Source organism: Homo sapiens, chromosome 17, assembly GCF_000001405.40.
Source record: "Homo sapiens chromosome 17, GRCh38.p14 Primary Assembly".
In the NCBI taxonomy this organism is placed as follows: domain Eukaryota; kingdom Metazoa; phylum Chordata; class Mammalia; order Primates; family Hominidae; genus Homo; species Homo sapiens.
This window is the reverse complement of record NC_000017.11, coordinates 16,103,479-16,130,680: the sequence shown is the minus strand read 5'-3', so window position 1 is coordinate 16,130,680 and position 27,202 is coordinate 16,103,479. Positions and strand designations below refer to the sequence as shown.

At 39.3% G+C, this 27,202-nt stretch overlaps 1 protein-coding gene across 53 annotated transcripts in view, besides 1 other annotated feature; it reads left to right on the top strand.

Annotated features, from left to right (window-relative positions):
- The window catches only part of NCOR1 (nuclear receptor corepressor 1), a 186,378-nt gene that overhangs the window by 84,854 nt on the left and 74,322 nt on the right, over positions 1-27,202 (top strand). For 31 of the 53 annotated variants that reach the window (XM_047437141.1, NM_001439116.1, NM_001439114.1 and 28 more), the window contains 5 exons: positions 4,472-4,599; positions 9,412-9,629; positions 11,196-11,258; positions 12,654-12,793; positions 21,769-21,895. In XM_047437141.1, the coding sequence (XP_047293097.1) occupies positions 4,472-4,599; positions 9,412-9,629; positions 11,196-11,258; positions 12,654-12,793; positions 21,769-21,895 (676 nt within the window). The remainder of the gene's footprint in view (positions 1-4,471; positions 4,600-9,411; positions 9,630-11,195; positions 11,259-12,653; positions 12,794-21,768; positions 21,896-27,202) is intronic. The other 22 variants (NM_006311.4, XM_011524086.4, NM_001439115.1 and 19 more) reach the window with 1 other exon arrangement.
- Positions 16,858-17,055: a silencer, noted in NCBI's record as "fragment chr17:16016940-16017137 (GRCh37/hg19 assembly coordinates)". NCBI's record gives its function as "represses an EF-1alpha promoter that drives an FKBP-Casp9 reporter gene in an ReSE screen in K562 erythroleukemia cells {active_cell/tissue: K562}" and the evidence as "EXISTENCE:reporter gene assay evidence [ECO:0000049][PMID:32094911]".

Sequence of the window (27,202 nt, the reverse complement as noted above, 5' to 3'; positions counted from 1 at the left end):
ATAAAAAGAAATACACTTAACTTTTACTTTTTTCTTTGAATTTTCATTTTGTTTTATATGTGTTCTAGAATATTCATTCATAGTGAATAGCTTGTTATTTGACAGAAATGTTTCATGTTATATTAACTCCCTGACAGAATTAAACTTGTTTTATTGGCTCTCAAGTATTGAGTTTAAAGAAGGGGAGAAAAGGAAAAACCTGGACAACGAGCCATTGCGAATATTTGTGTCTGTGTAGGGAACTTTTAGAAGGGTTTCTTTTGAAGGGGTGGACCTCTTTTGCTCCAGCCACCCTGTGGAGTTGAGGGATGTAACTTGTAACCTTCATCCTAGACCATGTGGATTGACTGGCACTTCTCTTTACAGATTTGCCTGAAACAAAAGTAGTTCCAAGCATCTCTTGTTTAAATTAGAGGTAATTCCTTACTCTCTTGAATGTCAGTGGCAGTTGTTATGATAGGTCTTTATGCATATTGCACAAAGGTGAGGTCCTCCAGTTGCTGCTGACTGCACTTCCTCTCCGCTCACCACTGCCTGGTCAGTATACAGAGGGGTGAGAGGTTCTGCTGGACAGGTACCAAACACTTCTCTAGACTCTAATGCAGCAACTCTGTCCATTTCTTTGGATCATTTCCACACTATGCAGAGCCAGGAGCTGTTTCCTTCTTTACACTGATTGGTTTAAGCAGGTGCTGCAGTTGTTTCTTATTCCCTAGCACCAGGGAAAGGGGAGTGAAGTTATCTGTTGGTTGGATTTTAGACAGCAGGGAATGCGTGGGATTACTTTGAAGCTCTGATTGGCATTAGAAGCAGAAAAGTATTGGGGAAATAAGATTAGCATGTGTTACCCAACTCTAAGGGGATACTGAATTTCTTTCCTTACGTTCTGCTGAGTTGACATGTCCCCGTCGTATCTTTAGGCCATAAACCGTTTTCTGGGTTACACAGCTCACTTGCTAGGCAAAGGGCATGATTTGTCCTTACTATGCCATCTTACTGGTTCAGAGTGACACATGGATGCTACATTGGTTACAGGGTTAGGTTATTAGCATTTAAACAGGTCTTGTGACCACTGTAGTGTCCCAGGGAGTCAGAGCTGAGTAAAACTTGCCCAATTATAAAGCAGACCTACTCATGGTTTGAAAGTTTAAATTTTAAAATCTCCCTAGTTTATCAGTTTTCTCTAGCAATAAATATCCAGAAGAAAGAGGAACTGGCAGTTAGCCAGGGTGAGAAGTTAGGAAGGTCAGATAAAGCAAGTGAAGGAATCATGGTATTGAAATGCTTTAGCAAGTAGAATAGTAGGTACAGTTCTCACTGGACTGTGAAAATTTGATAGAATAAGGGTTCAAAGGTCACAATGAGGACAAAGCAGGATCAGACACAATGAAGGTGTGCGATGGGTGGTTGTAGTTGGAGAGAAGACTTTCTGATTTTAGGATCTAGGAGGCAAAGCAGTGCCCACTGCTAATGAGGAGGCAATTGTGATTTTGCATGTGGGGAGTTTAATGGCCATGACCTAAAAGTATTTTAACTGTGAGATGTTATGTTGATTGAGTGGCGAGTGTTAGAAAAGCCATTGACATGCATTTTGAAATCTGAAAAATAATGTCAAGGCATAATGAGCCATGTGATGCAATCACTTATATGTTCTAGGGAATATTTAAGAAGTCATTCCATAACACCAAAAGAGAATGTTGATCTAGGGAGATTTTATGAAACGTGAAAAAGGAATTATTTTTAAAATATCACAGTTCAGCAATGTTCTGGAAGTGGACCAAGAAGGATTCATTTTCTTCTTTCCTTGCCCCTTGGATTAGAAGGAGGCATAATGTGGATGGGACTTCTTTTGGGGAGGTGAATAAGGCCTTCATTATCTTAAGGAAAAAGCTAAGTGTTGGTTTTGATGAATAGGTAAAAGACTTTGGAGCGCTATTAAGAAGGGAAATTTTTCTTAAAATTAATTAGTTACTTCCATATTGTCTGGTAAAAACAAGTAAGAGGACAGGTAGAGTTGCTATGAGGCAAGATTGACATTAGCCTGGATCAGAATGAACAGTCGAGATTGGAGGGTAAAAACTTTTCAGATAACTGGAATAAAGGAATTTGATTTTTGTTTTATCCAACATATGCATACACCTATCATCATGGTCCAGACACTCTCCTGGGAGCTGGGGATGCTTAGAGAAGTAAGATTGGATTCTTGTTCTTGATGAGATGATAACACAGAGAGCCAGATGGATGCTGATAAGCAGGCACTAAGCCACCTAGTGACAGTGCTACAAGCAGGTGTGGTCTGTGGTGGAGAGGGAAGGACATGGCCCCAGAGTTCCTCTGTGGAAATCAAGAGAGGCTTCACAGGAGATGTAGCATTTTGACCTGAATTGTAGAGACTATGTGGGACTTTATCAGGAAAGGGAAGGGTAGAAAGCTATGCAAGTGCTGGGCATGTTTAGGTGAGTCCAGAACAGCGAAGATGATGTGGCAGGATGGTGATTGGAGGGAGGTGTGCAAGGGCCAGCCTGCTGTGCTGGAAAGATGTGTTGGAGTTCTGTTTTAATTTGGTTATACAGTTTTGATTTCTGAATTAAATAAAAATGCAGGCCAGTCACAATGGCTCGTGCATGTAATCCCAGCATTCGGGAGACTGAGGTGGGAGAATCACTTGAGGTCAGGAGTTTGAGACCTGTAGCCCCAGCTACCTGAGAGACTGAGGTGGGAGGATTGCATGAGCCTGGGAGTTTGAGGCTGCAGTAAGCTATGATCATGCCACTGTACTGTAGCCTGGGTGACAGAGTGAGATGTTGTCTCTTAAAAGCAAAATAAAGCAGTTCCCCCTTATTCACAGGGGATATGTTCCAACACTCCCAGTGGATGCTTGAAACCACAGATAGTACCGAACCCTAATATACTATGAGAGATATATATATATATCTCCACACATATATACACATATATGTATATATACACACACATATATACATATATGTATATATACACATACACATATATACATATATGTATATATACACATACACATATATACATATATGTATATATACACATACACATATGTATGTATACATACATATATACACATATGTATATATACATACATATATACACATGTGTATATATACATGCAGATATATACACGTGTGTATATACACATATGTATATACATGCACATATACACACGTGTATATATACACATACACGTATATATACATATACACATATATACATACACATATACACATGTATATATACATACACATATACACATGTATATATACATACATATATACATACATGTATATATACATACATATATACATACATGTATATATACATACATATATACATACATGTATATATACATACATACATATATACACGTATATATACATACATATATACACACACATATATACATACATATATGCATACATGTATATATACATACAGATATATACATACATGTATATATACATACAGATATATACATACATGTATATATACATACAGATATATACATACATGTATATATACATACAGATATATACATATACACACACACACCTATGATAAACTTTGATTTGTATATTAGGCACAGTAAGGAATTAACAGTAACAAATAATAAAATAGAGTTATAGCAATATACTGTAATAGAAGTTACATGAGTGTGGTCTTTTTTCAAATATCATACTGTACGCTACTACACTTACCCATTTTCATACTGCAGTTGACTCCAGGTAACTGAAACCACAGAAAGAGAAACTCCTGATATGGTGGGGGCTACTGTAGTAGCATTCATTGCACACTTAGTTTCACTTTTTTCTTTTAGAGTCACAGGTTTTGCAAATGAGACATCAGAGATAAAAGGATTCCTAGTGTGACTGCTTAGCTTAGAAATATTTAAGCATTTTACTTCTTTTCACCTTATTATAGCTTTAGTATTTTTCCAAATTACTTCAGTCTTAGTAACGACCATAGCTGTTTACATATTCCATTAAGTAGACTTTCGCTCAAAAGTATAAATGCATGAAGATGTTTCTTATAGCATTATAGATAGTGATGAAAAAATTGGAAACATATTAAGTATCTAAAACATGATAAATTATGTATGGGTTATCAAATTTTAAGGTAGAATTGGAATGCTTGAGTGACAGATTAAATGTGGAGGTTGCCAAAAAAGGGAACCAACCCCAGATTTCCGAGTAGAATCTTAACATTTTCACTTTCTCGTGGGTCCAAATGCTATGAGCATTTGTGTCTGCGTGTAGGACCCTTCAAGCAGTACATATAGAATACATTAAAAACCTCTAGACTGGTTTTTAACACACGATCACCAGTTACATTGTAAATGACTAACAATCATTTAAAATTTTTTTAGATAGACATAATTTATCACACTATAAGGAGCTATTTCTGTTTGCCTTTGAATTTTACAAATGATGGTTCATTCTAGCAGCAAATTGCTCGACCCTCGCAAGAAGAAAAAGTAGAAGAAAAAGAAGAGGATAAAGCAGAAAAAACAGAAAAAAAAGAAGAAGAAAAGAAAGATGAAGAGGAAAAAGATGAAAAAGAAGACTCCAAGTGAGTTAAATAATTAGTTATATAATAAGTTAAATGTTTATTTTTATTTTATTTTTATTTTTGTAGATATAGGGAGTACAGTTGTCACATGGATATATTGCATAGTAGTGAAGTCTGTGCTTTTAGTGTACCATCGCCCAAATAGTGTACATTATACCCATTATACCTCACCCACCCCCTCGCACCCTCTCACCTGTTTGAATCTCTAGTGTCTCTTATTCCACTCTCTATATCCATGTGTCCACATTATTTAGCTCCCACTTATAAGTGAGAACATGTGATAGTTGACCTTCTGTTTCTGAGTTATTTCACTTAAGATGATAGCCGTTAGTTTGATCCATGTTGCTGCAAAAGTATAGTTTTTTTTTTTTTTTTTTTTTGTGATGGCGTCTCGCTCTGTTGCCCAGGCTGGAGTGCAGTGGCATGATCTCGGCTCACTGCAAGCTCCACTTCCCAGGTTCACGCCATTCTCCTGCCTCAGCCTCCCGAGTAGCTGGGCCTACAGGCATCTGCCACCATGCCCAGCTAATTTTTTGTATTTTTAGTAGAGATGGGGTTTCACTGTTAGCCAGGATGGTCTCCATCTCCTGACCTCGTGATCCATCTGCCTTGGCCTCCCAAAGTGCTGGGATTATAGACGTGAGCCACTGCGCCCAGCCTAGTAATTTTTAAATAATGAAATTTAATCTGCTGAAATTTTATTTTATTTATTTATTTTCGAGACAGAGCCTCAGTCTGTTGCCCAGGCTGGAGTGCAGTGGCGCAATCTTGGCTCACTGCAACCTCTGCCTCCCAAGTTCAAGTGATTCTTGTGCCTCGGCCTCCCAAGTAGGTAGGATTACAGGCACGCGTCACCACGCCCGGCTAATTTTGTGTTTTTAGTAGAGATGGGGTTTCACCATGTTGCCCAGGCTGATCTTGAACTCCTGACCTCAGGTGGTCCAGCTGCCTCAGCCTCCCAAAGTGTTGGGATTACAGGCGTGAGCCACCACGCCTGGCCGAAATTTTAGAAACATCTAATAGTTACATGATTAAGTTGATGTGATTAAGGAATAGAATATTACAGTAAATGTAATTTTTGACTTAATGAACTTATTTGCAAGTCATGAGTTATTATTACTTTTCAGAAGGGATGGGTTATAGTAATATATACTTTCCTCCAGGATATATTGAATGTAATTTAATTTTTGATTTGGAAGATTCCTCAGGTTCTGTTTTTGAGCCTCAGGTAGTATATATTAGTATAAAAATGCTAAGACAGGAAGAGTTCATTTTTATATTTTAGATTCCAGCTTTATTGACTTCGTCATATAAAATGGAGTTTTGGGTTTGTTTGTTGTTACTGCTGTTTTCTTAGTTATAAAATTACATTATAGAAAAACAGGAAAAGAAAAATATAGTGAAAATTAACCTATGATTCTGCCACTCAGGGAGTTATTGTTGATGCTTTTGTGGACATACAGGGGTGTGGTAGGAGTGGGGGCATGACAGTTGGTTTGGTTGTTTTTTTCCCCAAGAACTAGCTTTGTAAATTACATGGAACAAAATTCACCAGTTTGAAATGTGTACATTGATGTGTTTTGACAAGCATATGCACTTGTGTAACTATTATCACAATTGTGATGTAGAATGTTTCCATCACCCCAAACGGTTCCCATATGCTCCTTTGCAGTCAGTTTCTCTTTCCTCATTTCCAGCCTCTGGCCGTCATGTATCTTTTTTGCTTTCTCTAGAATTACATAAAAATTGAAATCATACAGTATGTATGGCTTCTTTTACTTAGCATGAATGCCTTTGAGATTCACTTAGGTTGTTGAATGTATCAGTAGTTTGTTCCTTTTTAATATTTATTATGTTATATCTATAGTCCTTGTGGAACTGTTTAAGATTTACCTAGTTTTGTGGAAGCTAAAGTAGCTAGTCACTTGCCATGTTTTAAAAGAGACAGATATTCTTCTCATTGTAATTTTATACCTGAGGAAGATACCTCTAAGGGAATATATTTTTTTCTTTTAGTTTGGGTTAAACATTTTTTGGGCCATGTAGCCAGTGGTTCTTCTCACATGGAACTCTGTCATAACTTGATTTTATTTTTTTGTTAAAATTTCTAAACTATTTAACAAGCTTTTATTTATTATCTATGTGAGCTAGGTCTTAGGGAGAATGTGAAAATACGTAAGATGTATACTATTCCCAGGTAGTTCATGATTTAGTAGGGGAAAAGTAGGTAAAGTACAAGTATTACTTTAAGAAATAAAAGCCTGGCAGTAAGAAGTCAACAGACGACCAGTTAAGTGCTTTGGCAGATTAAGAAGAGGTCGAGGCTACTTCTCTGTGGATAATTTGGAGGACATTAGCAGATGCTAGTGGTTAATGTGGGTAGGGTAGAGGGAATCACATGAATAGCTAGTGGAAGATAATGATTTCATTAGACTTAACATAGTGTGCATCAAGAAGAGAAGTGGAAGGTGGATTGGAATTAAATTATGTAGAGCTTTAATGAAAGCCAAAAATGGTAGACTTCATTCAGGAGGCTGTGCTGTGTGTCTGTCTGGGAATAGTTAGAAAGGGATTAGAATGGATGGAGTGGTTTATTGCCAAAGCTATCCTGCTAGAATGTTGATTCATTGGCAAGATAAAATGAATAGACTAGAGATATGAATCAGGGAGGCCAGTATGAAAGGCCAGGATTGGGGTACTAAGGTGTTGAGTAAGTGTAGTGGTAGTAGAAATAGAGATGGTAAAATTAGTGAGAGAGGCATTTCTGAGATGAAATAACCAAAACTTGGCATTAGATCACATGTAGGAAGTATGGGAAGAGGGAGACAGCAAAGGATGATATCAAATCTGTAAACCTGAATGATGATGAACATGGTAGGAATGTTAACAACAAATGATTAGAGAGTGACGTGGAGCAAGGAGCAGAGGTGAGGATGAATATGATTTTGGATATGTTCAGTTTCTATTGATGGAAAATCCAGGTGGCCGTTCCAGCAGGTAGTTGGGAAGATAAGCCTGAGTCTTTGGAGTTGGGGTGTGAGTCCAAAGATAGAGATTGGAGTCCTCCCGGTAGAACTTATGAGAATGGGTAACCTTACATAGCTCTAAGGCTCTAGGGGAGAGCCTTGGGAAATCCCCGTATGAAAGGGATGAGAGGAACCCAGCACAGTGGCTCATTCCTGTAATCCCAGCCAAGGTGGGAGAATTGCTTTAGCACAGGAATTCATGACTACCCTGGGCAACATGGTGACACCCTGTCTCTGCAAAAAATACAAAAATTAACCAGGTATGCTGGCACGTGTCTGTAGTCCCAGCTACTCGAGAAGCTGAGGTGGGAGGCTCACTTGAGCCCAAGAGATTGAGGCTGCAGTGAGCTGTGTTCGCGCCACTGCTCTTCAGCCTGGGTGACGGAGTGAGACACTTTCTCAAAGACAAAAAACAGAAACCCAAAAGAAAGGATGAGAGGAGAAAGGTCTGTCCCTTGAAGGAAAGCCAGAGTAGCAGCAGGGATATTTCAAAAGCTGAGTTTCAAGTGATATAAAAAGAAGAATTAACTGCAGCGTCAGTTGTAACAGAAAGACTTGCGGGGAAAATTGAGAAGAGGTCATTTGATTTTGCAGTTTGCAAGTCATTGGTGACTTTTGAGAAAACATCTTTTAACAGGAGGCTTCAGAATAGAAGCCAGCTTTATAAGGGAATAAGTAAGTAAAGGGAAAGGACTATGTTGTACTTCAATTTAGGACTGAAGGGGAGAGAATTATTTTTGAAAAAAATCAGCATCTTCCATTAAGCAAGAATAATTGAGTCTTTGAGTATTGCCATCTATCCATTCATTTGCAAAAATGTACATTGAGTACGTTTCCTTAAATATAACAACCATGGGAGGTAAGTAGTACAGAAAATGGTCTTCCAGTATTACATGTAGTACTGTTGCTATTAATAGGAACCACCATGTTTCTACATGCCTGAGACGATGGTAAGCACTTTATATCCTGAGGGAGTTTTAGCTTGAATAATAGCAAACTGTTACTTGATGCTGACTGTGTTCCAGGCACTGTTCTGGGTACTTTATTTAACTCCTTCAGTCCTGGCAACAGTCCCATGAAATAAACTTTTTCTCATTGTACAGATGAGGAAACTGAGGCCCATGGGGGTGAGGCAGCTTGTCCAGGGTCATCACATGGCTAGTAAATCACAACTGTGGTACAAACCCAGGCAGCCTGGCTCCAGAGGCCGTTTCCTAAGTATTAACCATTACTGCCCAATTTGTACATAATTAGTATCAGACATGATTTAGAGTATTGAGTCTGATTTTATAAAACAATATTGTAGATTATTACTGTAAAACAATATTGTGGATTATTACTATAGAAAAGGCATCTATCATGAAGATCATCTATTTTAGCTTCTTCATTTCATACATGAGGCAACCTAGACTAAAGGCAAATAAAACCCCAGAATTCCTGCCTTTTGGTGTAGGCTGTTGTCTCTGGATTGCAGGTCTAGGGCTTTTCTGCTGTCATTTGTTACTTTCTCATGGAGTAGTTCTGGTTTCTAAATCAGTTGGTTTGAAATGTGTTTAAATTTTAAGTCCATTAGTATGTAAAATAGGTCTTATAAAATATCTTAATTTTAGCTGGTCAAAACTTTTAAAAACTATGGTATGGCAGAATTGTTGATAATTTTTTTTTTTTGAGTGAGAGATTAGGTAGTTTTATTCAATTTCTATTTAGATAATATTCAAAACTAAAACCTTCTTCGATGTATGTATACTTTGGAATCACACAAGTTTTCATTTGCTTTTGTGTCCAGAGAAAATACCAAGGAAAAGGACAAGATAGATGGTACAGCAGAAGAAACTGAGGAAAGAGAGCAAGCCACACCCCGGGGGCGAAAGACTGCCAACAGTCAGGGCCGCCGTAAGGGCCGGATCACCAGGTCCATGACAAACGAAGCTGCAGCTGCCAGTGCTGCAGCCGCAGCGGCTACTGAAGAGCCCCCACCACCTCTGCCACCGCCACCAGAACCCAGTGAGTGGAAACAATTGGCATAAACAGGCCATAATTTTGTTCGGGATTCTGTTTCACTGCTAGGATAGGGTAGAAAGGACTTTTAATATTGACAACCTAGAAATAATCCTGAAGTGTGGTCTTTAAATTTTTTAAACTTTAATGTCAAAGTTTTTTGAAAAAGAACATCACCCAGTCTTGCCACCCCAATATAGCTGTTTTTTATTTAGTTGTTATGCTAGTGTGCCATAAATATTTTCTAATTTCTAATAATTACCATTTTTATTTTTTAATGGCTGTGTAATATTGAGGCATGACTTCTTTAACCATTCTCTTATTGCTGAATGATTAGGTTGTCTGCCCTCTTCCCTGCTTTTAAACCAATGTATATAGCACTGTAATAAAAAAATCTTTATTCACATAGTATTTTATGTTAAATTATTTGTCATGGAATAAATTCTTAGGCAAGGGAATACTGGATCTAATAGTCAAAGCATCTTTCTCTCTCTCATTAAGTATTGTCTCATTAGTTTATAAAAAGGCTAGATTAATGATAGAGTACCACTGTTAATGATTCAGAGGTATCATTGTTACTGAAGTATGAAAGAAAATGCAGTTTAGGGAATGGCAAGAATGAGATAGGGGCACTAACTAGATAGGAGGAGGAAAGATAGGTTGGGGCAGGTCATGATGGGCCTTGTTTGAAATGTATTTTGCTTTGATTATGAAGTGGGGAACTTGCAGAGGTTTTTAAATAGAGGAATGCTGTGATTAGATTTGTGTCTTTGGAAGTTAACTGATAGCAATTGTGGAGGTCAGTTTAGACAGAATAAAGGCTGGAGGCAGAGGGCCCAGCATGTATGCAGTGGCCCAAGCAAGGAGGGGATGGATTCAGAGTTGATGCATGTCATTGGATGTGAGTGGTAAATGGGAGGCAAGATTCAAAAATTAGTCTATCAGTCTAAGGAGCCTATTGGTAACTTGAGTGACTGGGTGAATGCTGGTACTATAAATTGAGAAAGGGAATATGGCAGGAGCTCATATCAGGCCTGATGTTCTCAGGTTTTGTTTTGTTTTGTTTTGTTTTTTTCCTGAAGCAAAAGAGAACATATTCAGTTCATGATCCATCTTTACCCACTGGATGTCAGACACTCGGGGATGAACTAAAGGGGCTCCAGGAGTTTTAGGACAAGATGGAGGCTCAGAGGAGAGGAGAGGGAATTGTGCTTGGACAGGAAGGAGGAGGGTTGCTTCTTCCTTTGACACTGCAGGAGAGGAGAGGTGGAGATCACTAAGTGGGAAGCTACTGGGTGAGGTAGGACTTCTCCAGAAAAAAACAAAATGTTTAAAAATGTAGACATGAAGAGAACTTTTAACAACACTGAAAAAGATCATAATATTGAAGTGTTGACTTGTTTCTTCTAGTTTGGTGGAGGAGAGGTTACTATCCTATTTCTGCAGTTTCTTTCACCAAATGCTTTTACATAGTCTTTTATGTCAGATAAAGAGATATAATTATATGATTGGTTTGAATAAAGGATTTAACTTTGTTTTTCTCTGCCTGATTGGGTTCTCTCTTTATTTTAGTTTCTACAGAGCCTGTGGAGACCTCTCGATGGACAGAAGAAGAAATGGAAGTTGCTAAAAAAGGTAAATTGTAGTAGTTCTGGTTTCTCAGGTTTTTGTTTTGTTTTTTAGGGTTATTAGTAATGAGTGAGATGGAACTAATTGTTTTAATTGGAAAAAAAATTCTTTCAAAAAGGCAAAGAGGACTCAGAAGTGACTTTAAGAGTTCTTTTCTGGTAGTATGGTACCCAATAAAGTACCCCCAGTGTGCCTTGTTTAAGATGCCCAGTTTTAAGGGATTTAAGATTCTCTCTGCAGTTTTATTTTGAATGTCATTTAATTAAAGAACAAGTAGGTCGTTTTCACTTTTTTAGAATAATTATGACTCTATGCTATTGAAATTGTTCTGGAATGAATGTTGATATAAAGTCTATATTTCTATTACCTAAAAGTTGTATTTAATAGGATAGGATGGTAAATACTTTTGTCAGTTTGCATTTGGTAAGTCATGTAATTATAAACCACTAGCAGATTGCTCTGTGATTCAGAGGAAAGAGCATGAAGTTTGTAACCAGGCCAGCGAAGGTTTGAGTCCTGTCTCTGCCACTTTCATAGCTTTGTGGCCTTCCTCTTACTCTGGCACTTTATGGACTTTGTGCTTTTCTGTCGTTGCTTGTTAATGTACTATAATTTGAAATTGAACTAAAATTTCTAATAGGATAAATAATTGGTAATATTGAGAAAGATTAGCTAATTTTTGGTGGTTAAATATTTACCTTGCAGTTGTAAAGATAAATTATTGTAAATAGCTTGACATTTGAGTGACACATTTCATATTTTTTTGTATCACCCCTTATATATGTATACAAATGCATAGATACATATTCTTTGCACGTATGTGTGTGTTTATGTGTGTGCATATATATATTGATTAGAGAAGTGTTAAATTGCATAGGTTTCTGTAATGCATTGTATTACCATAGGATTTTTTTAAATTGGCTAGTATTTTTCTGATGGCATTGCTTGATTGTGAATTGACTGAGGACAAATATGGATTATAAGTGGAGTCATATATATGTCTTTAAATTGTGTTTATCATTTATATATGATTATCTTATTGGCTTGATATATTGTGTCCAGAGATCTAGATGTACCTAATCATTTAGTTTGCAAGTATTTGAGCTATTACTAATGTGTCTAATGTTGTCCTAGCCCTGTGAGAGATACATAGGAAGGACAAGGTTTAGCCCTTCTGTTAATGAGCATGTTTTAAATTTGAGGGGGAAAAATATAGAACTGTAAATGAGTTTTGTTTCAATAAGTATTTTTATAAGTATCAAAGTATATATGATAAGTAATTGAAAGCACACTTCTAGTGTCAATGGTTGTGAATACAGTGATTAAGTTAATTTATTATTTCTCTTGTTTGCTTGATCAGGTGACTGTTCAATTAACATTTGGTCTGTTTTTAAAATGCAGGTCTAGTAGAACATGGTCGTAACTGGGCAGCAATTGCTAAAATGGTGGGAACGAAAAGTGAAGCTCAATGTAAAAACTTCTATTTTAACTATAAAAGGCGACACAATCTTGACAACCTCTTACAGCAGCATAAACAGAAAGTGAGTATATTGGGGTGGTGACTCTTTACTTACTGTTTTTTACTTAGAGTGTTGTTGTTGTTGTTTGAGATGGAGTCTCACTCTATCACCCAGGCTAGAGTGCAGCAGTGCAATCTTGGCTCACTGCAAACTCTTCCTCCCGGATTCAAGCAATTTCCTGCCTCAGCCTCCCGAGTAGCTGGGACTACAGGCGCCCGCCACCATGCCTGGCTAATTTTTGTAGTTTTAGTAGAGACAGTGTTTCACCATGTTGGCCAGGCTGGTCTCGAACTCCAGACCTCAGGTGATCCACCTGTCTCAGCCTCCCAAAGTGCTGGGATTACAGGTGTGAGCCACTGCATCTAGCCTTGATGTTTTTTTTTTTTTTTTTTTTCTGAGCTCCAGAGATTGGTTTTAAGAGAAACCTTTTTGTATCTTATATTTTTATTTATTGCACTTATATGTAAAAGGTATGCTAAATTTTTAGTATAGGCTAGCTGTTTCTCTATTTATTGCTCAAGGAGTAAAGTTTCTATTTGTATTCCTAACAGTCCAAACAAGGCCCATCATGACCTGCCCCAGCTTATCTTTCCTCCTCCGAAGTTTCTATTTGTAGTAAAGGGAATTAAATACTCTTGAATTACTGTAGGCTGGATTTGAAAAATACAAACTTTTTGGAGATTGAATTGAAAACTTTAGTTGGAGGTCTGTTGATAATATCGAGTGAATTGATTTGGTATATTAGACATTTTTTCAGAGAGAAGATTCCATGGTATAAATATTAAAAACCAGAGAGTATAACATTATTGGAAATTCCTTAATAAGTAAGTTCCAGTGTAGTGGTTGTCAAAGACCATAGAGCTTTTTGATGATTCCATGAGGTCAAGACTGTTTTCATAAAAATATCAATCAAATGTTATTTACTTTTTTTCAGTATATGACATTTGCATTTATGGTGTCAAAGCTGTGGTAGATAAAATTGCTGATGCCTAAGCATAAATCTTGGCAGGGAACCAAACGGTGCTAGTACTCAATGTATTTTTCATCGCTGAGCATTTGCAGTTTTTTCTTAAAATGTCACTTAAGAATGTCCTTGATGACGCAGTAAAAGTTAATTTTATTAAATCTCACCCATTGAGTATGTCTTTTTATACTTCGTGTCATGTAATGGGAAGTAAACATAAAGTTCTGCTCTATACCAAAATATGATGGTTCTCTCAGGGAAAAGCACTTTGGCAATTGTTCGAGTTCTAAGTTGCACCAGCCTCCCCTTTTTCATGGAATGTCATTTTAGATTGAAAGAATGACAGACAAACTATGTTTTCAGACTGGGATTTTGGGAGACATTTTCTTGAAAATTAGTGAATGAGGCTGTCTTTGAAATAAAATAACTGATAGTGTTTGTTGCCACTTTAAAATTTTGAGTTTTCAAGCAAAAAATGAGAATTTTGGAAAATATGTTTCTCTAACCATGAGCTTCACACCTTCTCATTACAGATTTTCTGATGAGATCAGTGGTAATAATAGCAAATGCGATAGTTGTTACTGTGTGATGAAATGTATCCAAATTTGAAAAACTTGCTTTAACTCTACTTTCCAAATGGCCATTTCATGATGTTATAATGTGATATGGTTTGGCTTTGTTGCCACCCAAGTCTCATCTTTAATTGTAACTCCTACAATTACCATGTGTCATGGGAGGGACTCAGTGGGAGATAATTGAATCATGGGGCAGGCCTTTTTCTCATGCTATTCTCGTGATAGTGAATAAGTCTCACAAGATCTGATGGTTTTATAAAGAGGAATTTCCCCGCACAAGCTCTCTTTTTTTGCCTGCCCCATCCATGCAAGATGTTACTTGCTCCTCCTTGCTTTCTGCCATGATTGTGAGGCCTCCCCAGTCATGTGGAACTGTAAGCCCTTTAAGCCTCTTTTTCTTCCCAGTCTTGGGTATGTCTTTATAAGCAGCGTGAAAACGGACTAATACAATAAATTGGTACTGGTAGAGTAGGGTGTTGGTGAAAAGATACCTGAAAATATGGAGGCGACTTTGGAACTGGGTAACAGGCAGAGGTTGCAACAGTTTGGAGGGCTCAGAAGAAGACAGGAAAATGTGGAAATGTTTGGAGCTTCCTAGAGACTTGTTGAATGGCTTTGACAAAACTGCTGATAGTGATATGAACAATAAGGTCCAGGCTGAGGTGATCTCAGATGGAAATGAGGAACTTGTTGGGAATTGGAGCAAAGGTGAGTCTTCTTATGTTTTAGCAAAGAGACTGGCAGCATTTTGCCCCTGCCCTAGAGATTTGCAGAACTTTGAACTTGAGAGAGATAATTTAGGTTATCTGGCGGAAGACATTTCTAAGCAGCAAAGCATTCTAGAGGTGACTTGGGTGCTGTTAAAGGCATTCAGTTTTATGAGGGAAGCAGAGCATAAAAGTTTGGAAAATTTGCAGCCTAACAACGTGATAGAAAAGAAAATCCCATTTTCTGAAGAGGAATTCAAGCCTGCTGCAGGAATTTGCATAAGTAATGAGGAGCTGAATATTAAGTTCCAAGACAATGGGGAAAATTTCTTCACAGCATGTCAGAGGTCTTTATGGCAGCCCTTTCCATCATAGGCCTGGAGGCTGAGGAGGAAAAAATGATTTCATGCCCTGGACCCAGGACCCCCTTGCTGTTTGCAGCCCAGGGACTTGGTGCTCTGCACCCCAGCAGCTCTGGCCATGGCTGAAAGGGGCCAAGGTACAGCTTGGGCCGTGGCTTCAGAGGGTGCAAGCCCCAAGCCTTTGCAGCTTCCATATGGTGTTGAGCCTGTGGGTACATAGAAGTCAAGAATTGAGGTTTGGGAACCTCTGCCTAGATTTCAGAGGATGTATGGAAACGCCTGGATGTTCAAGCAGAAGTTTGCTACAGGGGTGGGGCTCTCATGGAGGACCTCTGCTAGGGCAGTGCAGAAGGGAAATGGGGGGTCAGACTCCCTACTAGTGCACTGCCTAATGGAGCTGTAAGAAGAGGGCCACCATCCTCCAGAATGGTAGATCCACCTACAGTTTGCACTGTGTGCCTGGAAAAGCCGCAGACACTCAACGCTACCCTGTGAAAACAGCCAGGAAGGAGGCTGTTCCCTGCAAAGCCACAGGATTGGAGCTGCCCAAGACCGTGGGAACCCACCTCTTGCATCAGCACGACCTGGACGTGAGACATGGAGTCAAAGGAGATCATTTTGGAGCTTTAAGGTTTGACTGCCCTGCTGGATTTTGGACTTGGATAGACCCTATAGCCCCTTTCGTTTGGCCAGTTTCTCCCACTTGGAACAGCTGTATTTACCCAATACCTGTGCCCCCATTGTATCTAGGAAGTAACTAACTTGCTTCTGCTTTCACAGGCTCATAGGGGAAGGGACTTGCCTTGTCTCAGATGAGACTTTGGGCTATGGACTTTTGGGTTAATGCTGAAATTAGTGAAGACTTTGGAGGACTGTTGGGAAGGCATGATTGGTTTTGAAATGTGAAGACATGAGATGTGGGAGGGGCCAGCGGCAGAATGATATGGTATGGCTGTGTCCCCACCCAAATCTCATCTTGAATTGTAGGTCCCACAGTTCCCATGTGTTGTGGGAGGGACCCAGTGGGAGATAATTGAATCATGGGGCAGGTCTTTCTCATGCTATTTTTGTGATAGTGAATAAGTCTTAGGAGATCTACTGGTTTTAGAAAGAGGAGTTCCCCTGCACAAGTTTTTTTTTTTTTTTTTTTTTTTTTTGCCTGCCGCCATCATGTAAGACGTTACTTGCTCCTCCTTCCCTTTTGCCATGATTGTGAAGCCTCCCCAGCCATGTGGAACTGTAAGTCCATTAAACCTCTTTTACTTCCCAGTCTCAAGTATGTCTTTATCAGCAGCGTGAAAATGAACTAATACATAATGGATCATGCATTGATAAAAGATTGATAATGTTTTTTTAATATACCAAACGTAAGATAGGTTACAGATTTTTTTCTTTTTTCTTTTTTTTTGAGATGGAGTCTCACCCTGTTGCCCAGGCTGGAGTGCAGTGGCATGATCTTGGCTTACTGCAACCTCCGCCTCCCAGGTTCAAGCAATTCTCCTGCCTCAGCCTCCTTAGCAGCTGGGATTACAGGCGCACGCCGCTATGCCCAGCTAATTTTTGTATTTTTAGTAGAGATGGGGTTTCACCATGTTGGTCAGGCTGGTCTTCAGCTCCTGGCCTCAAGTGATCTGCCTGCCTCAGCCTTCCAAAGTACTGGGATTACAGGCGTGAGCCACCGCGCCTGGCCAGATTATAGATTTTAACAGAGTATGAAGGGTTCCTTGATATGGTATAAGATTTCATATTGTAACTAACAAATAAGAAGTGACACTTGGTGAGTTTTGGTACAGTATCAAAAAATAGTATGCATAAGTATCTGAAAAATCTGTTAAAATATTCTTCCCTTTTCCAACGACATATCTGTGTGAGGCTACATTGTTTTCTTATACTTCAACCAAAACATTAGATTACTTAATGTAATCCACAGATTAGATCATATGTGGAAGCACCTTGAGAATTGTGCTGTCTCTGTTAGATCAGACATGGAAGAGATTTCCAAAAGGGGAAGGTTGTGCCACTGTTTTAGTAAGTCATTTTTTTTTTTTTGGAAAATGGTTACTTTTCATTAAAAAAATAAATTCTTGGCCAGGCGCGGTGGCTTATGCCTGTAATCCCAGCACTTTGGGAGGCTGAGGAGGGCAGAACACAAGGTCAGGAGATCGAGACCATCCTGGCTAACATGGTGAAACCCCGTCTCTACTAAAAATACAGAAAAAAATGTTAGCCGGCCATGGTGGTGGGTGCCTGTAGTCCCAGCCATTGGGGAGGCTGAGGCAGGAGAATGGTGTGAACCCAGGAGGCAGAGCTTGCAGTGAGCCGAGATCGCACCACTGCACTCCAGCCTAGGCGACAGAGCGAGATTCCATCTCAAAATAAATAAATAAATAATAATTTATGAGTTTATATTGTTTTTAATAATTTAAAATTTTGAAGTTTTCTTAGTTTTAGTTTCTGATATAGTAAGTGTCTATCTGGCTGTCTATATTTCTCCCATAAAGAAAAGCTCTTTGGCCAGGTGCAGTGGCTCACGCCTTTAATCCCAGCACGTTGGGAGGCCGAGGCGGGCAGATCACGAGTTCAAGAGATCAAGACCATCCTGGCCAACGTGGTGAAACCCTGTCTCTACTAAAAATACAAAAATTAGCTGGGTGTGATGGTGTGCACCTTTAATCCCAGCTACTCGGGAGGCCAGTAGAATCACTTGAACCTGGGAGGCGGAGGTTGCAGTGAGCTGAGATCGCGCCACTGTACTCCAGCCGGGCGACAGAGTGAGACTCCGTCTCAAAAGAAAAAAAAGAAAAGTTCTCTGCGGCCTTTAATACTTTTTAAGAGTGTTGCATCCTTAGACCAAAAAATTTGAGAATTATTAAAGTGTGATAGTAAAGCTAATAAGATTTGAATTTATTAAGAGTATACAAAGTATAACATTGACTGATTTAAAAGTGTGTATACAAAGCGGCCTTTAGGTTAATAATAAGAATGTGAGAGTTAAAAATATGCTGTAGCAACCAAAACATGAAAAAGTCTACTGACAAGATAAAGACTTGACTTCAGGAGGTAACATCCAAAATGTTTTGAGAAAAAGTGAAGTAAAAAATGAGTCAGATATGTATTTAAAATATAAATGTTGGCTGGGTGTGGGGACTCACGCCTGTAATCTCAGCACTTTGGGACGTCAAGGTGGGTGGATCATTAGGTCAGGAGATTGAGACCATCCTGGCTAACATGGTGAAACCCCTTCTCTACTAAAAGTACAAAAAATTAGCCGGGCATGGTGGCGGGCACCTGTAGTCCCAGCTACTCGGGAGGCTGAGGCAGGAGAATGGCCTGAACCCGGGAGCCGGAGCTTGCAGTGAGCCGAGATGGCGCCACTGCACTCCAGCCTGGGTGACAGTGCAAGACTCCGTCTGAAAAATAAAAATAAAAATAAATAAATAAATGTATGTTATATTAGTCATGGTCCTCCTCAGAAACACAGTTAACAGGATGTGTGTATGCATATATATAGAAAGAAAGATTGAGATTTAAGGAACTGGCTCCTGTGATTGTGGAGGGTTGGTGAGTCCAGTGTCTAATGGAGTAGGCTGGTTGATTGGAGATTCTGGGAAGAGTTGCAGTTGGACCCCAAAGGCAGTTTTCCTGGCAGAATGTCTTCTTTTTTTTTTTAATTTTAATTTTTATTTAATTTTATTTTTTGAGATGGAGTTTCGCTCTGTCACCAAGGCTGGAGTGCAGTGGCTTGATCTTGGCTCACTGCAACCTCTGCCTCCTGGGCTCAAGCGATACTCCTGCCTCAGTGTCCCAAGTAGCTGGGATTACAGGCACACACCACCATGCCTGACTAATGTTTGTATTTTTAGTAGAGACGGGGTTTCACCATGTTGGCCAGGCTGGTCTTGAACTCCTGGCCTCAAGTTATCTGCCCGCCTTGGCCTCCCAGTGTGCTGGGATTACAGGTCTGAGCCACTGGGTCTGGCCATGAGCCACTGCGCCTGGCCTGTGTTTCTATATATTTGACTTTACATTAAGAATTAGTGAATACTATCATATATTGAAGAAAATGCTTGGCAACGTAGTGAATTATTGCATGTGAACAGAGGGATGTTGTAGTAGGGTAAAAAGTTGTCTCTTCCCTAGTTACTAGTGAAAGGACCAAACAGAATGGGTTGATAGTGGTGAGAGAGGGACATACACTGGGCTCTGGAAAAATCCATATAATAATTTATCTGCTGGGCATGGTAGGTCACACCTGGATTGCTTGAGGCCAGATGTTCCAGACCAGTCTGGGCAACACAGCAACACCTCATATTCAAAAACAAACAAATAAATTAAAAGTAGTTATTATCCTTGAAAATTTACAGAATCTTCTGAAAGCTTTTTAGAAAGTGTAGCCAGTGTGTCTCTGGGATTCTCTTGCATTCCTGCTATGAACTTAGAAATATTAGCCTTGAGAATTGCAACTAATTCTGTGACTCTGATATTAGAAAATGATTGTTTCTCTTGAGTTAATTAATATTTTAGTTGGATCCTAAATATCATCCGCATGAGAATGTTGAGTAGATGTACGGGTAATTTTTAACAGGGCAGTAGTATATTTTCCTCTTCTGAGGAGTCTCACTGGGAGAGGCTGACAGCTCATATGAGGTGAAACGTAGGCTCTGTAAGGGGCACAAGACAGAGGACCATCAGGGCTGGGACTTCCAGAACCCTGGGTCTGCAAACACAGAAGATATTAAGCCTTCTATTTAGTAACATGAAGTTATAAATATAATGTAAATAGCTAACGTCTTATAGTTAAATGTGTACACATGTACTCTTACGTATATGCGACCCCAGTAGAAGAATGAGCAATTTTGCATAAACATACTTTGCAGAAGGGAGCATACAATTTTTTTTAAAAAGGAATTAAAAAAAATTTTTGTTTTTTTGTTTTTTGTTTTTTTTTTGAACGAGTCTCACTGTCACCCAGCCTGGAGTGCAGTGGCATGATCACAGCTCACTGCAGATTCAGCCTTTTGGGCTCAAGCGATCTCCCTGGCTCAGTCTACTGTGTAACTGGGACTACAGGAGAGCACCAGCACACAGAGCTAATTTTTTTATTTTTTGTAGGGACAGGTGTCCAACTTTGTTGCGCAGGCTAATCTCAAACTCCTGAGTTCAAGTGATCCTCCCACCTCAGTCTCCCAAAGTGCTGGGATTATAGACATGAGCTCCTATGCTTAGCTGAATTTGTGCTTTTTTATAGTAAAAGAAATTGAGTGGTATTGGCTGGGTGCGGTGGCTCACGCCTGTAATCCCAGCACTTTGGGAGGCCAAAGCGGGTGGATCACGAGGTCAGGAGTTCAAGACCAGCCTGGCCAAGATGGTGAAACCCCGTCTCTACTAAAAACATGAAAATTAGCTGGGCCTGGTGGCGGGTGCTTGTAATTCCAACTATTCGGGAGGCTGAGGCAGAGAATTGCTTGAACCCAGGAGGTGGAGGTTCCAGTGAGCTGAGATCCTGCCACTGCACTCCAGCCTGGGTGACAGAGCAAGATTCTGTCTCAAAAAAGAAAAATAAATTGAGTGGTAAAAAGAAATTCAGTAGTAATATCAATGATGAGTTGTTGCTTATAAAATTGCGTGATTCTTAATGCTAGTGAAGGAAGTTTCTTGCAGCATTATTTATACCAAAAATTGAAAATTACCAAAATGCCTTAAAATAGGAGAATTTTAATTATATGTCAACATAATATATGTCAGTATTATGTCAACATAATGTTTTCATGGGATCATTAATAACAATAATTAGGAAGAATTTGTAACAGTGATATGTTCTGCTCATGGCTACATTATGTTAAAAAAGTGAATATGTAATTACATAGGGCTTTCCTGGTTGTGTTTACATGTATACATAAATATTTATATTCATGTATATGCCTCTGAAAGATTGAAAGGAAATGTACCGGTATATTTAGGATCTCTTACTGTTGGAATAATGAGCAGTGATTTTTGTAGTGTTATGTCTTCCACATTTCAAGGTATATATTATCTTTAGAAAAAATATATATATATTGTTTTTATTAGATAACATTATCTGGAGTGAGTAAAAAGCATGGAGGTATGTGATTTTTGGCTTTTTATACATGTATAGTGGTGAGTAATTCCAAAAGTGGATCAGATGTAACTTTTGCTTAGTTTGATAAAGGCGAGCCATCTACACAAAATTTGGCCAGTTAGTGATTATGGAGAGGTATTTATCTGCACTTTAACCAGAACTATTGTCAAACATGTGACCTCCTTGTCTGGTGTGTGTGTGTGCTTATCAATGTTCTACATTATTTCAGAAATGAATTTTTTTTTCTTTTTAGTTATTTAAATCAAATAATACTCTTTCCTCCTTTAGACTTCACGAAAACCTCGTGAAGAGCGAGATGTGTCTCAATGTGAAAGTGTCGCTTCCACTGTTTCTGCTCAGGAGGATGAAGATATTGAAGCCTCCAATGAAGAAGAAAATCCAGAAGACAGCGAAGGTATCTCAAAATTTTAAATTTAGTTGTGACATCTGCTATCCAGAATAAATAATTTTTAGTCATTTGACTGTGTAGGAGTTGCTTCATTGAGGAAACAGTGTGCCAGTGTTTTCATGGTGTGGAGACTTCAAACTTGAACATAATGTTTTTATTCATTTAATCAACAAATATTTATGTAGCACCTAGGATGGTCCAGAAGATCTTGGAAATGGCAGTCCTGCTTCAGACATCAAGTGCCAACATCAATAAAATACCTGTGTGTCTGTGTCATTGCCACATTTATTTGTTCAGTTAGTATAGTTGGTTACATTTCTCTTTATTTTATTGGCTTAAGTTTGATTTATTTTCATATTTTTACAGAGATTTATATGTACTGTAGTAATGTTTTTACGTAAAAAGAATTAGTGACCTTAGAAGCACCGATAGAAAAAAAAAACACGAAACTTAAGGAAATTTAAGAAATAATGTATCTTTGTCATTTAAACTAATGACAAGTTCATGGAAAGGTAAATGTTTTCTTGATTTTTTTGGTAAGAAAAAAGATACCTAATTTATTTCAGTTTACACTCTGATTAAAGTTTCTGTGGATTTTTTTTTTTTTTTTTTGGAAATTGCTTCTGATGTGGGGATTTTTATAATGCTTTTAGTAGCTCTTCATATATTATAAATTAAACATGTTCATGTTTTGTATATGCAGATAATTTTTTCCATCATTTTCTTTTTGTTTTCCTTTTCAATTACTTTTGTTTAAAGTTTGTGTAATTAGAGTTGTATCTCTTTTCTGTGTAGGGTCTTTATTTTGTATAAGCTTTAAAAGTTGTACATCCTCCAGGTTTAGTAATATTAGATTCCATGTTTTTTTTTTCCTATAGATTATTCTTGTTGTCTTTTAAACTTAAACTTGTATTGAAATGGGTTTTGGCTTTGAACAACCCCTAACCTTAAACTTGTTTTTGGGAGGGTTTGTGAAAAATGAGGTCATCTTTACAAGAGTAGAGAGAGTATTAGAGAAGTCCCACCCGAGGGTAGGGTAAGAGTGCTGCAAACAGGGAAGGTAGTTTGGTGTGTTAATGGCACTTCTAGAGAGGTTGTCAGAGTCTCTTGGTTTTAATGGGTTTGTTTCTGGTGGCTAGTATTCCCTGGGGTTATAAATGTTAATGAAGGCTGGAGGTTAATAAATCTCCTTGGGCTGCCATAACAAAATACCACAGATTGGGTGGCTGCAGCAACTGAAATTAATTTTCTCACGGTTCTGGAGGCTGTACGTGCAAGGTCAAGGTGCTGGCACAGTTGCTTTCTGATGAGGGCTGTCTTTGTGGCTTGCAGATGGCTAACCGCCTTGTTACTTTGTCCTTACATGGCCTTTCCTTTGGGTGTGCGCACTCCTGGTGTCTCTTCCTCATATGAAGACAACTCCTACTGGATTAGAGCCCACTGTTATAATCTCATTTAACCTTAGTCATCTCCTTAAAGGCCTCGTCTTCAAATACAGTTACATTGGGGGGTAGGGCTCCAACAGAAGAATTTTGGTGGGGAGGGGCACAATGCAGTCCATAACAAAGCCCAAGTCTGGTATTAATATGTCTATCTGGGCCGGGCGCAGTGGCTCATGCCTGTAACCCCAACACTTGGGGAGGCCCAGGAGGGCGGAACACGATGTCAGGAGATTGAGACCATCCTGGCTAACACGGTGAAACCCCGTCTCTACTAAAAATACAAAAAAAAGTTAGCCGGGCATGGTGGCGGGCGCCTGTAGTCCCAGCTACTCGGGAGGCTGAGGCAGGAGAATGGTGTGAACCTGGGAGGCGGAGCTTGCAGTGAGCTGAGATCACGCCACTGCACTCCAGCCTGGGCGACAGAGCGAGACTGTCTCAAAAAAAAAAAAAAAAAAAAAAAAAAAAATATATATATATATATATATATATATATATGTCTGATCAAGTGTAGGGTGGCACCATCACATCTGCTCAATCATCTAGAAGAGTTTCCTATTAAGAGGAAATGATTTTCCCAGTAGAATTGTAGGCTCTCTCTTCCTGTTGACTTAGCTTCATTTGGAAAGTGTCAAGAAGAGAACATAAATGCAGCTCATGTGACCTGTGATCTCATACTTATTCCTAATCTCAATGAGACAGCACAGATGCACTGTTTATTGTGTGGCAAGTCTCTTGCCAATTGAAGAACGAAGGCAGCTGCTGAAGGGAGGGTTCCTCTATCTGTTTTCCTAAAACACATCTGAGTGTTTGAGTATCTTTCATGATTAGAAGAATTAAATCAGACCAAACTTCACCAAAATTTGGATTTGCTCTTGTTCTCTTTTTCTACATCATTCTTTAAGGTTTTTTTTTGTATTTTTAGGAAAAAAAAAGATACTCATGTTTGGCTACTGCTTGGTGAAACATTATGCCTTGGAAACCTTCCTACTCTTTTGTGGCTTGGAAGAAGAAAATTGGAAAAGTGCTTATGTCAAATGATATCATCTGCTGTATAACCACTAACATGTCTTCTAATATTTTGAAGATAAATGCCTTGTTAGTTTGCCCTTGGATTTGGGGCTTTCTACCACTATATAAACAGAAATGAAGGTTAAGTTGGGCTTTTTGTTAGCTTTTCAATGCTTTGGTAGGATCTTTCAGTAATGATAATGGCTGCCGTTTTTGTTTGTTGGTTTGTTTGTTTGTTTTAGAGATGGAGTCTCGCGCTTGTTGCCCAGGCTGGAGTGCAGTGTTGCAATCTCAGCTCACTGTAACCTCTGCTTCCCGGGTTCAAGCAATTCCCCTGCCTCAGCCTCCCGAGTAGCTGGGATTATAGGCACTTGCCACCACGCCCAGCTAATTTTTGTACTTTTAGTAGAGATGGGGTTTCGCTACGTTGGTCAGGCTTGTCTCGAACTCCTGACCTCAGGTGTTCCGCCTGCCTTGGCCTTCCAAAGTGCTGGGATTACAGGCATGAGCCACCGCGCCTGGCCATGGCTGCCATATATTAAAACCTTACTACATGTGAGGTACTCTTCTGAATTATTTGCTTGTCTGTCTTTGTTTGTTTGTTTGTTTGTTTGTTTGTTTTTTGGAGACTTGAACTCTCATGTGAACTCCAGGCTCATATATTTGATCACCTACAGTATTTCCATTTGGATGCCTAAGAGCCATCTTGTTGTTAACAGCCAAAGCAAACTCATGTGTCTCTACCACCACAAGCTGCTTTTCCCTCTGGTCTTTCACTATATCAATAAATTAGGTTTTCTTTAGTCTCTTTAGAATTGGATCCTTGTCTCCATTGCTCCTACCCTGCTTCTGAGGAGCCCTCATTGCAGTAGTTTTTTGATTAGTCTCTTGCTTCTTTTTGTTCCATTCTTTTTATTTATTTTTAGAGATGAGGTCTCGCTGTGTCACCTAGGCTGGAGTGCAGTGGCTCGATCGTGGCTCACTGCAGCCTCAAACTCCCAGGCTCAAGCGATTTTCCCACCTCATCCCCCCAAGTATCTGGGACCATAGGCGTGTACCACCACACCTGACTAATGTACTTTTTTATTTTGTGTAGAGACAAGGTCCATTCTGTTTTTTCTTCCACAGCAGCCCAAGTAATTCTTCCAAAATGTGAATCAAATCATGTTTCTTCTCTAGTCCAAATTCTGTAATACTTTCCCATCTCAGTAAAAATAAAGACCCAAGGCCTTACTGCAATTTATGAGGCTCTGCATGAACTGACCTTTGTACCTCTGTGAACTTTCTGCCAGCTGCTTTTTTGTTGGCCCCCTCTGCTCCAACCACACTGTCCTCTTTGCTGTTCCTGGGCAAACCAACCCCGACTTCAGGAGCCTTTGTGCTTTCTAATCCCTCTACCTGGGATGCTCTTCCCCACCATGTGCCTAGGGCTCATTCTCTCATTTCCTTGAGTCCTCTGTTCAGATATCACTTTTTTCTATAATACCTCCTCACCCACTTCTTTCTCAGTTTTGTCGTTTAGTCACTGCACTGATCACCACCTGATATATCACTTCTTTTGTTTTTTTGAGACAGGGTCTCACTCTGTTAACCCAGCGCTGAAGTGTACCAGCGTGAACACAGCTCACTGCAAGCCTTGACCTCTTGGGCTCAAGTGATTCTCTTGCCTCAGCCTCCCAATAGCTGGGATTACTGGTGTACGCCACCATGACTAGCTAATTTTTTAATTTTTTTGTAGAGATGAGGTCTTACTATGTGGCCCAAGCTGGTCTTGAACTCCTGGCCTCAGGCATTCTTCCTGCCTTAACTTCCCAAAGTGCTGGGATTATAGGCGTGAGCCACCACTCTCAGCCTATATCACATATTTACTGTTGTCTATTTCACGCTAGAATATGGGCTCCATGAGAGCATCTGCTTAGGTTTTCTTAAATTGCTGTGTCCGTGGTACCTCAGACAGCTCCCTGCACATACATAGTTGACACTTCATCATATTTGAAAGGATGAATTTGTAGAAGTTTTTTTTATATTGCTGTCTATTATATACAATTAAAAAATATTTTTTTTTCCCAGACGGTTACTTAGGTTTTCACAACCATTCATGTACTTTATAATCCAGCCAGTATTTGAGTCTACTGTGTACCAGGCTAGTACTTAAGTGATAATCAAAATAAATGATCTCTGTCTTCATGGAGTTTATAGCCTAGTGGAAGAAATAGCCAGAAATCATTCTAGTAAATAAATGTAAGATTGTAACTGTAACTAGTACATGTGGTATCAGAACTATATTAGCAAAATATAACTTTGTTAAGGAAACCATGGAAGGCTTTTTTGGGGGGGTGGGGGTACAGAGTTTCACTCTTGTTGCCCAGGCTGGCATGATCTCGGCTCACCACAACCTCCACTTCCCGGATTCAAGCGATTCTCCTACTTCAGCCTCCCAAGTAGCTGGGAGCACAGGCATGCCACATGTGGCTAATTTTGTATTTTTAGTAGAGACGGGGTTTCACTATGTCGGTCAGGATGGTCTCAAACTCCTCACCTCAGGTGATCCATCCACCTCGGCCTCCCAAAGTGCTGGGATTACAGGCGTGAGCCAGTGCGCCCAGCCCATAGAAGGCTTTTTAAGCATGTGATGTTTGAGTTGATCACCAAAGGAAAAGTAGGTGAAAGAGCCTTTCAGTAAAGGTGAATGGCATGTACAAAGTCTCTGTGGTAGAAGATGCATGAGGCATTGAACAAACTAAATAAAGGCCAGTGTGACTTGAATTCAGAGAGCTGTGTGCAAGCTGGAGAGGCTGGAGGGGGCCCACTGGGCAAGGCCTTGCAGATCATACCAGCAATTTTGGGACTTTATCCTAATAGT